General features: G+C 40.2%; 2 annotated features.

The window, feature by feature from the left end:
- Nucleotides 3,768–4,269: an enhancer, noted in NCBI's record as "H3K27ac-H3K4me1 hESC enhancer chrX:4174729-4175230 (GRCh37/hg19 assembly coordinates)". NCBI's record gives its function as "activates a minimal SCP1, AML or CMV promoter by ChIP-STARR-seq in naive H9 embryonic stem cells {active_cell/tissue: H9 hESC(naive)}" and the evidence as "EXISTENCE:reporter gene assay evidence [ECO:0000049][PMID:30033119]".
- Nucleotides 4,270–4,769: an enhancer, noted in NCBI's record as "H3K27ac-H3K4me1 hESC enhancer chrX:4175231-4175730 (GRCh37/hg19 assembly coordinates)". NCBI's record gives its function as "activates a minimal SCP1, AML or CMV promoter by ChIP-STARR-seq in naive H9 embryonic stem cells {active_cell/tissue: H9 hESC(naive)}" and the evidence as "EXISTENCE:reporter gene assay evidence [ECO:0000049][PMID:30033119]".

Here is a 12,470-nt window from a genome sequence, read left to right on the forward strand (position 1 = left end):
TTATTACCCTTGTGTTGGCCTTCAACAGAAACATGATTAGTTTTCAAACCCTTGTTTACTAAACTCAGTCACTCTATGCAGCTTTCTCTAGTGGAGTCAGTAATATACTTTATAAATGGATTTCAGATATCTAAATAGAGATAGCCATTTAACTCCTTGACAACAAATTCAGTAGAAGGAAGACAAAAGAATAGTCCTTAATTTACTAGTGAATGAACACATTAGCGTTGTTAGAGAAACCACTTAACTGATCTTTATTGAATAAGCCTAGGGTGTGTCCTGCAGAGGGGAGAAACAGGAAGTGTGTCAGGCACATGCGAGAAACAGAAAGTATGTCCATAACAGTGGAAGAACAGGAAGTGTGGCCTCTTCAAGGAAGAAAGAGGAAGTGTTTCCTGCACTACAGAGACACAAGAAGTGTGTCCTGCACAGGGGATAAACAGGAAGTGTGTCCAGCACAGGGGAGGAAGAGAAAATGTGTGTTGCATAGGGGAGAAACTGCAAGTGTGTTACCCACAGGGGCTACAAAGGCAGTGTGTTCTGCCTAGGGGAGAAACAAGAAGTGTGTCCTTAAAAAGGGAGAAACCCGAAGTGTGTCCTGCACATAGGAGGAACAAAAATTGTGTTCCCCTGAGGGTTCAGGGGAGACAGAGGAAATGTGTTCTTAACAGGGGAGACAGAGGAAGTGTGTCCTTAACAGGGGAGAAACGAAATATTCAGACTATTTCTATATATTTAATTTATATATCTTTGGGTTTGTTTACATATAGCTGTATATGTGTGTGTTTATACATACATATATTTATTTAAAATAGGCTTGTCTACAAAGAAAATTACCATGCTATCAATATATTATAAAATCACACATACACACATATACATATCTTTCTGAGAAAAATTAAAGACAATAATTTCACCCCTTTTTAGTAGAACTCACAATAAACTTTCAATGGAGATGCTTTTTTAAGAAAAACATTTAACAATTTTTTAAAAACTTTTTTTTACAAGAAGTTTTTTAAAAACATTTTTTAACTTTAAAGCATTCAGTCCATAAATGTGAAGTTCAAAGGGCTGTCATCACCACTGTTATTACTGTAAAAATGTGGCGGCCCCCTTCTCATTTTTTCTCATTCATCTATCTTTGATGATTGGATTTGAGGTAGGAAACACACATTTTAATGGGGGTGGACTGAGAATAACATTTAAAGTGTGATACGTGACTTAACACACACAGACTAGTTTCAAGAATATTGATGACTGTCCCAACATATGTCTTCAAATGCCTTTTCTCCCCATGCAGATGAGAGAGTTTTCCAGTTCTTGCAGTTGAAGCCCATCTGATGCTGGCTGTGGAATCTAATGTGTCTTGAGTTTCCTAGGGTTTGTCTTCTTTAGCTGTGTTAGGACAATGAAGACAAGTCTCCAGGTTGCCCATGAGTCCCTTTATACATTATTCATAAAGGTTCGATGATAGAATAAATTGCTGTAGTACTAATTCAGGTCTCTCTACAAGCCCACTATAAATCTTTTTCTATTCAAGAAACCAACCATTTATCACAATAAATAAGTAAATAAATTCTCCTTTTCTGAGAACTCCCATATATACACGTTGAATAAATTTGCATGCCTTTTCTCCTATTAAAAATAAAAATAAATAAAAAATAAATTCTCTTAAGGCATGTGTGTGTGTGTGTGTGTGTGAGTCTCTTCCGAAGGAACCTACATTTTTGCCTTCCCAAATGTGTCTGATTCTTCATTTTCCCCCTTTATTATATACGTATCAATTAAACGTTTTTCTTTCTCGTATCTGAACCATTTTGAAAAGTCGAACCCTCCTTTCCTACAGTATTTCATTAGCCATTTGCAAACTGAGCAGCTGAAAGAATAATGGACACTTAGATGAGGTTCGACATGGCTTCCCCAAGGAGATCTGACCCTCGATCAAGAGAAGTAGACCCATTTTACCATTAAGTTAAAAGATTTAGACACCTAATCAGAATAAATGAAACTACAAAAAAGAAGTCTTATTTTTTTTTTAACCAGAATTGTACATTCCATTTTGTTTATGTTAGATAGTTCATTGCATCAAAGCCTGCTGTGTTGGTTACTTTTCAGATCTGTTTTGGTGTGAACTCTGCATTACAATGAATCCAAACATCAGAAATCCAAAGGTGTTCTCATGTTAACATTTACTATTAGACACATAATGAAAGCATCTTTTAAATTACTTACTTAAGCCTTACAAAGATCTTTAAATTTTCTCATGCTAATTTTAAAGACTTGAAAGGGCCTTTTATAAACTGCTTCTAGAAATAATTGAAATAATTCCAAAAGGGCTAGTAGGCTAGCTAACTTTTGAGGATTTTGGAGGGGAGAAGTTATGAAAGGAAGAAATTTAAACAGCAGAAGTCTAGAGTGGTAATTGCAGGGAGGGACATACGCAAGGTCATATATATCGCAATCCTCAGAATGTTCTAAAACAAGACCTGGCATTTATGTTTGTGTTTTCTGTTTATTCTTAATAACACTCAGGTTAGGCAGGAATGTTAGGCTGTTTGTTACTGCATCTATGGAGCCCATATTTATGACTTCTTACCTGCGAGACATTTCAATCCATTTCATTGCTATACTCTGCACCTGAGAAAAAAGGCTTCCATGATTTTCTCTTTAGAATGTTTCATCTTTTAAACACACATACATACATCATTGTTTTGTTTCTTTGTTTTGTTTTCTGTGAACAATGATTCTGAAATAAGAGCACTTTATTTTCAGTCACATAAATCTACATTATTAAATGTTTGTTTACAGCATTTCCAGCTCACCATCCATGGATGTGAAGGGCATTTACAAACACTAGATGATTCACTGACTTTGGGAGAACATACTACCAGCCAACTTGAATAATTGTTTTAGAACTAGACTGTCCTATATGGCATCCGATAGTCACAAGTGACTATTCTACCATGAAATAAAATTAAATCAAATTTAAAACTCTAGTTTCTCAGTCACACTATCTGTATTTCAAGGGATCAATAGTCACATTTGGACAATGGGTACTATTTTGAAAAGCTAATCCCTGCTCTATTAGTTTCCTGAAACTGCCATAACAAATGACCTCAAACAGTGTGGTTTAAACAAGATTCTTTCTTTCTCTCTCACAGTTCTGTAGGCCAGAAATTCAAGATCAGTGTCACAGCATGATTGGTTCCTTTTGAAAGCTTGAAGGGAGAAACTGTTCTGTGCCTCCTTCTCAATTTATGGTGATGGCTAGTGGTTCTTGGCATTCCTTGGCTTGTGGCCGGATCTCTCCTGTATCTGCCTCCCTCATTGCATGGTGTACTTACTGAGTGTCTGTATATCCAATTTTTCCTTTTCTCATAAAGACACCAGTCATTCAATGCCTGGCCACTTTAATCCAGTATGAACTCACTTTAACTTGACTACATCTGCAAAGCCCCTATGTATTAATCCGTTTTCACATTGCTATAAAGAAATACCTGAGACTGGGTAATTTAAGCAGAAAAGAGGTTTAAGTGTCTCAGGGTTCTGCAGGCTGTACAGGAAGCATGACATCATCTCCTTCTGGGGAGGCCTCAGGGAGCTTTTATTTATGGAGGAAGGCAAAAGTGAGAGCAGGCGTCTCACATGGCACGAGCAGGACAAAGAGAGAGAGATGAGGGAGGTGCCACACGCTTCTAAATAACCAGGTCTCATGAGAACTCACTCACTATACAGTACTGGTGTGGGGGGGATTGGTGCTAAGCCATTTATGAGAAATCTGCCCCCATGATCCAATCACCTCCCACCAGGCCCTATTTCCAACAGTGGGGGTTACAATTCAACATGAGATATGGGCAGGGACACAGAGTGAAACCATACCACTCTAATTTCAAATAAGGTCATTTTCTGAATTATTGCATGTTAGTGATGGCAGCGGCAGCCCATCTGGAGAGGCCGCTATAAAGATGCTGACTGCAGCAGTGGTGGCACCGCCAGGGCTGTATGCTCCACTGAGCTGGCAGAAGCCAGGAACAAGTGGGAGCCCTTCCTCCCTCCGAGTTGGTGGGGTGGGAGAGCCACCCTCCTGGGAGCAGCTGCAGCCGCCTAGTTGCAGCTGTGGACCTGATCATCCTTGCACTCTCAGGGGCCCAGGAAGTCTCCTGTAGCCCTGCAGGCTCAGAAGTGCCTGCTCCCACTGCTTGGCCTCTCCCCACTCCTGGAATCCACTCTGATTTTGGAGCAAAGTTGAGGCCAAGCCTGGGCACTGTCACAAACCGGCCAGGTGTGTGCATGCTCAGGGCAGTGCTGACATGCCAGCCTCTTGCTGCTTCAGCCACTTCTGAACTTTGGGCACCGATGAGCATGAGAGGGAGGCCAAGGAAGGGGCTGAGGGTGGCTCAGGGTGGGCCTGCATGTGCCCTTCGGCATGAACTGCCTGGGCACCAGGGACAACATGACTGATAGTGGCTGGACACAGACAGGCTCCTGGGTGGAAAGGGGTGGGTCCTCAGTGAAGCCCCACCTTCAAGCCAGAGACAGCCTGAAGCATGGGGTCCAGGCTGTCAGTTCCAGGTGGAGTCTGTAGACCGGAGTTCCAGGTGGAGTGCTGTTTCTGGGCCCACCCATGGCCACCCATGGACCAATCAGCATGCACTTTCTCCCTTCTGAGCGCATAAAAACCCCAGACTCAGCCAGACTTGAAGAGACACCGAGACTACCAGCTGTGGGAAGGAGCTGCCCACTGTGAGTCTCCTCTCCACTGAGAGCTGGACACTCATCAGGACAACTTGCCTGTGGAAAGGAGCTATCACTTTGGGTCACCTGAGATCTGTTCTGTCACTCAATGAGGCTCCTCTCTGCTTTGCTCATGTTCATGTCCCTCATTCTTCCTGGACGCAGGACAGGAACTCAGGATGTGCCAAATGGTGGGACTGAAAGAGCTGTAACACAAACAGAATTGAAGCACGCCCCACTGCTTGCCACATTGTGGGTGACGAGAAAGAGAGAAGAACTGCAGCTCTTCAGGGAGCCCAGACCTAGGGGTTCCCTGATCCAGGGCTGTGACACTTTCTTTGGGGCTCTGTGGTTCCTGGCACCTCCAAGCTTCTGGGAACCACCAAGTTCCCCTTATCCTCATCTAGATGTGGGTGCTTACAGTGGAAGCCTCATACAGTACATCTGCTGTAGCTGCAGCCTCACATGGAGCCAGCACCTGTGCCAGCGCCTGGAACTTCCCACCCTGGCATGGCTAGCTGTGTGCAGTGGCTGGAACTCGTGCTTGCTCTCCCACACACCCCTTGCCACTGTGCTAGTGGCTCGTCCTTTGCAGGTGTGGGATCCAGGCTGGTAGTGCCAACTGAGCACACCCTGCTGGGCCAAGTGGGCAGAATGAGGCCAGTGGGTGTGAGCAATACTCAGGTAGAAGGCATCAATGGCCACAGAGGTTTCCGGCTGGTGAAGCAACACCCCAAAGATCCCGTGACATTAGGACTGGAAAATAGATTTCTGGGAAACCCAGTTCAACCCCTAACAACATTTCTGAGTCTTTTCTTTCCTGACTACTCCTGGGGAATATACAGCTTCATTTGGCCCTATGCTTTCACCCTAGGAAACGAGTCCAACACCCATTGCTTAGCATATGGGGAAAAAAAAGTGTATTTAAATTGGAGAGTAAGCATACATTTGTGATGATTGTGGAATTCAAGGAATTGGAACAAGGTGAAGCAAATATTCAGCTTCTCCCATCAGCTCTCCTTCTCTACATGAAAGCTAAAAGCATTTCATGCCTATGCTTATGCCACGAAGTAAATATCTGGCCATGTCCTCCAGAGACACAGGTATTATTGGGCTTTCCATTCAGCAACATAATTGTGGGCATTAAGATGACTTTTCCCCCAGCCAAGTCTATGCCTGATTACAATTTGAAAGAGGATGGATTCAGTTGAAACAGATATAAAATTCAAGTAACTGTTCTGAAGTACCATTTGATAGCTTTAGATGGTGATGGGACGCTTTAATCAAAGATGCCACATTGAACTGTGGGCTAAGATGCAGGGAATAACTTTTACAACAGTAATTGCAGGCTCTCTAGAGTCTGATTGAGATGCTAAAGAGAAAAGTCATGGAGAAGTGGCATTTTTATCAGCATCAATGAAATGCTAAGGAATCTATGGCTGCTTATCAGAGTTCCTGACTTATTTAGGGGAATGCAAGTGGGAAAATGACACCTTGCTGGACATGTAAGATCTATTCAGCGAAGCAACTCTAGGCTTGACCAAGAAGAAAGATGTTATTCCTAGACTACAGGATGCAGAAAGTCTGGGTGGCCAAATAGGGAGCAGATAACATCTTAGGCTTCTGAAATTCAAATTTGCAGTCAACTGAATCTGTTGACACAATATCCTTTTCATGTTCACCCTCTGTCTTAGCTTTCCACAGCTGCTATAACACAGTACCACAGACTGGGTGTCTATAAAAAATTATTATTGTATAATAAATTAGACCATTGATTGCATCAATATCTGCTGTCTTATAATAATTTATTATCTGTTTATAATAATTTATTATAATATAATAAATGTTATAATAAACATTACATTTATTGTATGTGTATAATAAGTATTATTACATTTAATATATGTGTCTTAAAATAAATTATTATATAATAATAAATAAGAGAGTTCATTGCATTAATGCTTGCTCTTATAATAATAATTTATTTATTATATGTCTATAATAATAATTTATTATGAATATAACATTTATTATAACATTTGTCATAAAAACTTAGATAATAAGTTATATAATAAATTCATATAATATATTTATAATAGTAAATTATTATATAATAAATTAGTTCATTGCATCAATGGCTGCTTCTTATAATAATAATTTACTTAGTAATATCTGTCCATAATAGTCACTTACTATTAATATAATAAATTAATATAATAATAAATATTTTAATATAAGTGTCTTAAAATAAATTATTATTATATCATAAGTTATTATATAATAAATTAGATATTAATAGTTCATTGCATCAATGCCTGCTGTCCTATAATAATAATTATTATTTATTTATTTATTATATGTCTATAATAATAATTTATTATAAATATGACATTTATTATATTTGTCTTTAAATAAATTATTAATATATAATAATAAACTATCATATAAAGATATACATTTATAATACATTACATAATAAATCAGTTCATTGCATCAATGCTTGCTTTCTCATAATAATAATTTACTTAGTATTATCTGTCTATAATAGCTTATTAATGTAATAAATTATTATAATCAATATTATATTTACTATATTTGTCTTAAAATAAATTATTATTTAATAATAAATTATTATTTAATAATAGATTATTATATAATAAATTAGTTCATTCCATCAGTGCCTGCTGTCTTATAATATTTATTATTAGGCCTATAATAATATATTAATTTGATAAATTATTATACGTATTATAAATGTATTATATTTATGTTAAGTTCTGGTTATGCAATAATAAATTGTTATATAATAAATTAGATAGTTCATTGTATCAGTGCCTGTTAATAATGGACACTTCTATTAATGGGGTGTCTTATAATAATAATTATTATTGTTTATTTATTATAATATATTTATGACAATAATTTATTATAAGATACCCAGTCTGTCCCACACTTCTGGACAGTAGACATCTGAAACCAGCATGTTAACCAGGCATATCCTCTCTGTCCAAAACTTTGCAGAGAATCCTTTCTTGCCTCTTCTGAGCAGATGTTGGTGGTCATTAGTCTTTGACATTGCTTGGCTTGTGGCTGCCTCAGTCCCATCTCTGCCTCCATCTTTATATGGTCTTCCCCTGTGTCTCTTCTTATAAGGACATCAGGAATAGTGAATTAGGGGCCCACCTGACTCCAGTATGACCAAATCTTAACTAATTACATCTGCAAAGACCCTATTTCCAAAGGAGGTCACTTTCTGAGGTTCTGGGGGATAGGACTTCAACATATCATTTTTGGGAAAATAATTTGACACATAACATTCTCTATATAAAACAATCTGACACAATCTTTATTAACTTTGAAGGTGTGAACTCCAATATGACTATTCTGGCATTCCCAAATACTGAAGCCCATATTTACTACTCTGTTCTCAGAAAAGCCCATATAACTTAATATCCAGTTAATTTCTAATCTTCTCCTGTTTGTTTGTTCTTTGATATCAAATTCAGATTTCTTTTTTGAGACGGAGTTTCACTCTTGTTGCCCTGGCTGGAGTGCAATGGCTTCATCTCGGCTCACCACAACCTCCGCCTCCCAGGTCCAAGCAATTCTCCTGCCTCAGCCTCCCAAGTAGCTAGGATTACAGGCATGTGCCACCACGCCTGGCTAATTTTGTATTTTTAGTAGAGACGGGGTTTCTCCATGTTGGTCAGGCTGGTCTCGAACTCCCGACCTCAGGTGATCTGCCCACCTCGGCCTCCCAAAGTACTGGGATTACAGGCATGAGCCACCGCACCCAGCCCAGATTTCTTTTTTGTTAACTTTTATTTTAGATTCACGGGTACTTATGCAGGTTTGTTGCATATTTCTTAAAAGAAAGAAATATTTTATAAGGGTTCCGTACTTCCCTAAATTCTACAAAATTCTTAGTCTTTAACCATATTTTAACAACCACTCATATAAGCCACTCTTCTCTCTGTTGCAGGAAATGCAGTAAAATACCCTTGGCTTAGTGATTCATTGCTCCCTGGAAAGTTTGCGTATTTGCTTTCTCTTTTCATTCACATGCGGTTTTATTTATAAAGGACCACAGCCATGTTTTTGAAGTGCAGTGAAAACTCTGCTATGGCCTGAACTTTTCTTTTCCCCCAAGATGCATATGTGATACCTAATCCCCGATGTATTAGTATTAGGAGGTGGGGCCTTTGGGAGGTGATTGGGTCATGAGGGTGGAGCCCTCATGAATGAGATTAGTTCCTGTGAGTGGAAACCGCCCCCGCCCCACCACACAAACACAAATTGTTTTTCCTCTGCTCTCACACCACAACAATCAACACAGAAGATGTCAGTGACCAAATGTGTGGGGGCTTCTCCCCACACACCAAGCAAGCAAGCAAGCCATTGTGCAGCACACACCAGCTGGCTGTCTTCCAATTCAGTTCTGACACTCTCTACATGGAGACAGCATCAGATCCCACAGACTGAGGGCTCAGTCCCACAAGACTGCTCCCTCTTCCCACGAGTTGCAAGTCTGGGCCTTCAGAACTTCTGATTGGCCAGCTTCAAGTTGGATTCTCATGACTCCCTATGTAGATTGGTTTGATTTGCTGGAGTATCTCATAGACCTCTAAAACACAAGTATACCAGTTTATTATCAAGGATATTACCAGGGACACAGGTGAAGAGATGCATAGAGGAAGATATGGGGGAAGGGGCACGGAGCTTCCATGCTCTCCTGGGTTGCACCACCCTCCTGGAAACTCCATGTGTTCAGCTATCCAGAAGCTCTCCAAACTCAGTCCTTTTGGGTTTTTATGGGGACTTCATTAGTTAGGCATGATTGACTACCATGTAGAAATGTGATTGGACAAAAGGGTTGTGATTTAACACTAATAGACTGAGTAGGGGAACCCAGCGACGTCTGTCTGTTCAAATTCTTCTTGCTGTGTCTCTACAGCATTCCCTCCTCTTGGGTATGGGGCAGGACCCCTTCTGAAATGAGGGTCTTATGCCCCACAATCACAAATCCGAGGAAAGGCCTGGTGCTGTGGCTCATGCCCTTAATCCCAGCATTTTGGGAGACCGAGGTGAGCAGATCACTTCAGCCTGGAGTTTGAGATCAGCCTGAGCAAGATGGCAAAACCCTGTCTCTACAAAAATTACAAAAATTAGCTGCGAATGGTGGTGTATGCCTGTAGCCCCAACTACTTGGGAGGCTGAGGTGGGAGGATTGCTTGAGCCCAGGAGGTGGAGGCTGCAGTGAGCCATGATTGCGCCAATGTACTCCAGCCTGGGCTACAGAGTGAGACTGTGTCTCAAAAGGAAAAAAAAAAAAAAAAGAAAAGTAAAGAAAAGAAACCCAAGGAGAAAATAGTTTCCTGCCTTGGGTTGGGGAAAGTAAGGCAGGAGAAAGTCAGGGAGAGAGATTCTGTCCTCCGAGACTTAAAGCGCCCCAACATTATAACATAGGCTATGGGAGCTGAGTCAAGAACCATCAACAAAAACTTATCATATACATGATAGCACAGTGCCCCTTGAGGAGGAAAAGAGAACACAGTTCTTTTTTTTTCAGCATGTGCGGACACAGCCGGAAAACGTCATCTAAATCAAGAAGCAAATCCTCCCCAGACGCTGAATCTGCCACGGCTTGATCTTGAACTCCAGCTTCCAGAACTGCAAGCAATAAATGTCTGTTGTTTAGAAGCAATTCAATCTGTGCTATTTTGTGATAGCAGCTTGAATGGACTAAGACATTCTTGGTGGGAAAATTCTCAAATGGGGAAGATGCTAATATCTCTTCCTGCTTCTGTTCTGTTCTATGAGTGATGAGTCCAGGCTCAACCTGGCTTCTTCAGCAGGAGTGCCGCCTAGACATTGGGTTGCCTTTAGTTGCTTCCTCAAAGCATCTGGTCATAGATCTGTGTAAAGAATCCTGGTCTTGAATCTGTGCATGATGCAATCAGCATGAGAGTGAATACATTGCCCCTCTGCAGAACTGCAGAATGTCTGAAGCTGACTCTTACCCTTAATTGTACTCTGACAAGTATTTATTGTGCAGCTGACAAATACCTAATGCTGTGATAACTACAATGAAACACACCTACATTTATGTTCTGAACTGTGCTATCAAGGAGTTTACATCTTGGGAGAGAGGAATGGAGAAGAAACAGCATTGTGTTCCAATAGAAGTCAGAAAGTTTCACATCCAGACGCTGTTATTACCTGGGGAGGGATCGCGGGCAGGTTCTTTAACCCAGAATACTCTTCTATGTATATTATGATTCTGAGGGCTTTCCTAAGCAAAACATTCTATGAATTTACAATGAAACCCATGAATAGTGAGGCCGGGATGTATAAATTGGTTTTCCGTGGAGTATAATCAAGTGTAAAAATATGTCTGCAACAGACAATAGGGATCCCTGCCTGTGCTTGAAGTACCCCCTGCTGATTGGAGGTGGCCACATGCTGCCTGTGTTGCAATCTGCATTTTCAGGAGAGAATACATCTGCTTTGATATGATGGGTTAGTTAGAACAAAACTGACGATCCTTCTGCCTACGGTTCTGTATATCATCCTGGATTTTTGAGCCCAGTCTGTAAAGGAAGTTTGCTACTGATCTCGTCTGAGCCAAGATGGGGGTAGATTTTCCCAGTAGCTCAGTTATGAATTCCTTCTATGTATTTCAGGACATGTCTGTCCTGTGTCAACATAATAAGGCCTTAATTCAAAATAGCTGCTTATCAAAAGATGAACCACAGAGGTGGGCACATTACCCTTCATCCCATATTTCAGAGTGTATTTGTAGACTGCGGGTGAAAATTGGCTTCCAGCATGTGAGTTTATTATTTAGTTCTTGGGCTCTGGTGAATTTAAACTTGGCGGGAACACCACCAGTGGTGAAAGGAGGAACAATGACAGCCTTCAAGCAGCAATTCTTGTCTTCCTTTGATCTTGTCTGCTTCATACCTGCATATTTATTCCAGTTTGGTGATTCAAGAAATATGAGTATCTATATTCCAGAAATAGATTTCTTTATAAACTCTGTTGTGTGGGACCCGTAGCCAAGTCGTGGGAATTTGAACTGGGGCAGTCCGCAAAAAAACACAATGATGTTGGAAAGTAAAAGTGAGGAAATTTCTTTACATGAAATGTGAAGACCATGAAAGGTGTTACAAATATGGATTTGATGAGCCTCAAACCTACAAATATAAGAAGAATGATCAAGGATGATACAGGAAAAATACAAAGTGGTAGCTGTATGCAATCCAAAACAATCAAAATAATATGAAGGAAAGTAGAATTAAGCATTAGGAATATAAAATAGAGGGTGGATATCAACATGAGATGGCTATAAACCTATCATTAATTAATTATGGAGAAAATGAAGTTGTTCCTTTGATATCTTATATGCAAAGCTAGTGAAATGCTACCCGGGAACATTTAAATCAGGTTTTCTCAACCTTGGCACTATTGAATTTTGGGTGGCATACTGCATCGCTGTAGGGGCTGTCCTGTGAAGTGTGTTTTTCAGCATCTCTGGCACTTATCCACTAGATGCCAGTAGCAGCCTCCAAGTTGTAACAACCAAAAGTGTCTCTACACACTGCCCTGTTTCCCTGTGGTGTAATCTCCAATACGAATGAGAATCACTGCTTTAGCTGTTTTCTGAGGTTCAGCATGTTTGAATATATGGAAAGAAAGTGAATTCGTGCCCCCAGTGATGAAGTGACCAGGGAGAC

This window comes from Homo sapiens, chromosome X (genome assembly GCF_000001405.40).
Source record: "Homo sapiens chromosome X, GRCh38.p14 Primary Assembly".
Classification (NCBI taxonomy): domain Eukaryota; kingdom Metazoa; phylum Chordata; class Mammalia; order Primates; family Hominidae; genus Homo; species Homo sapiens.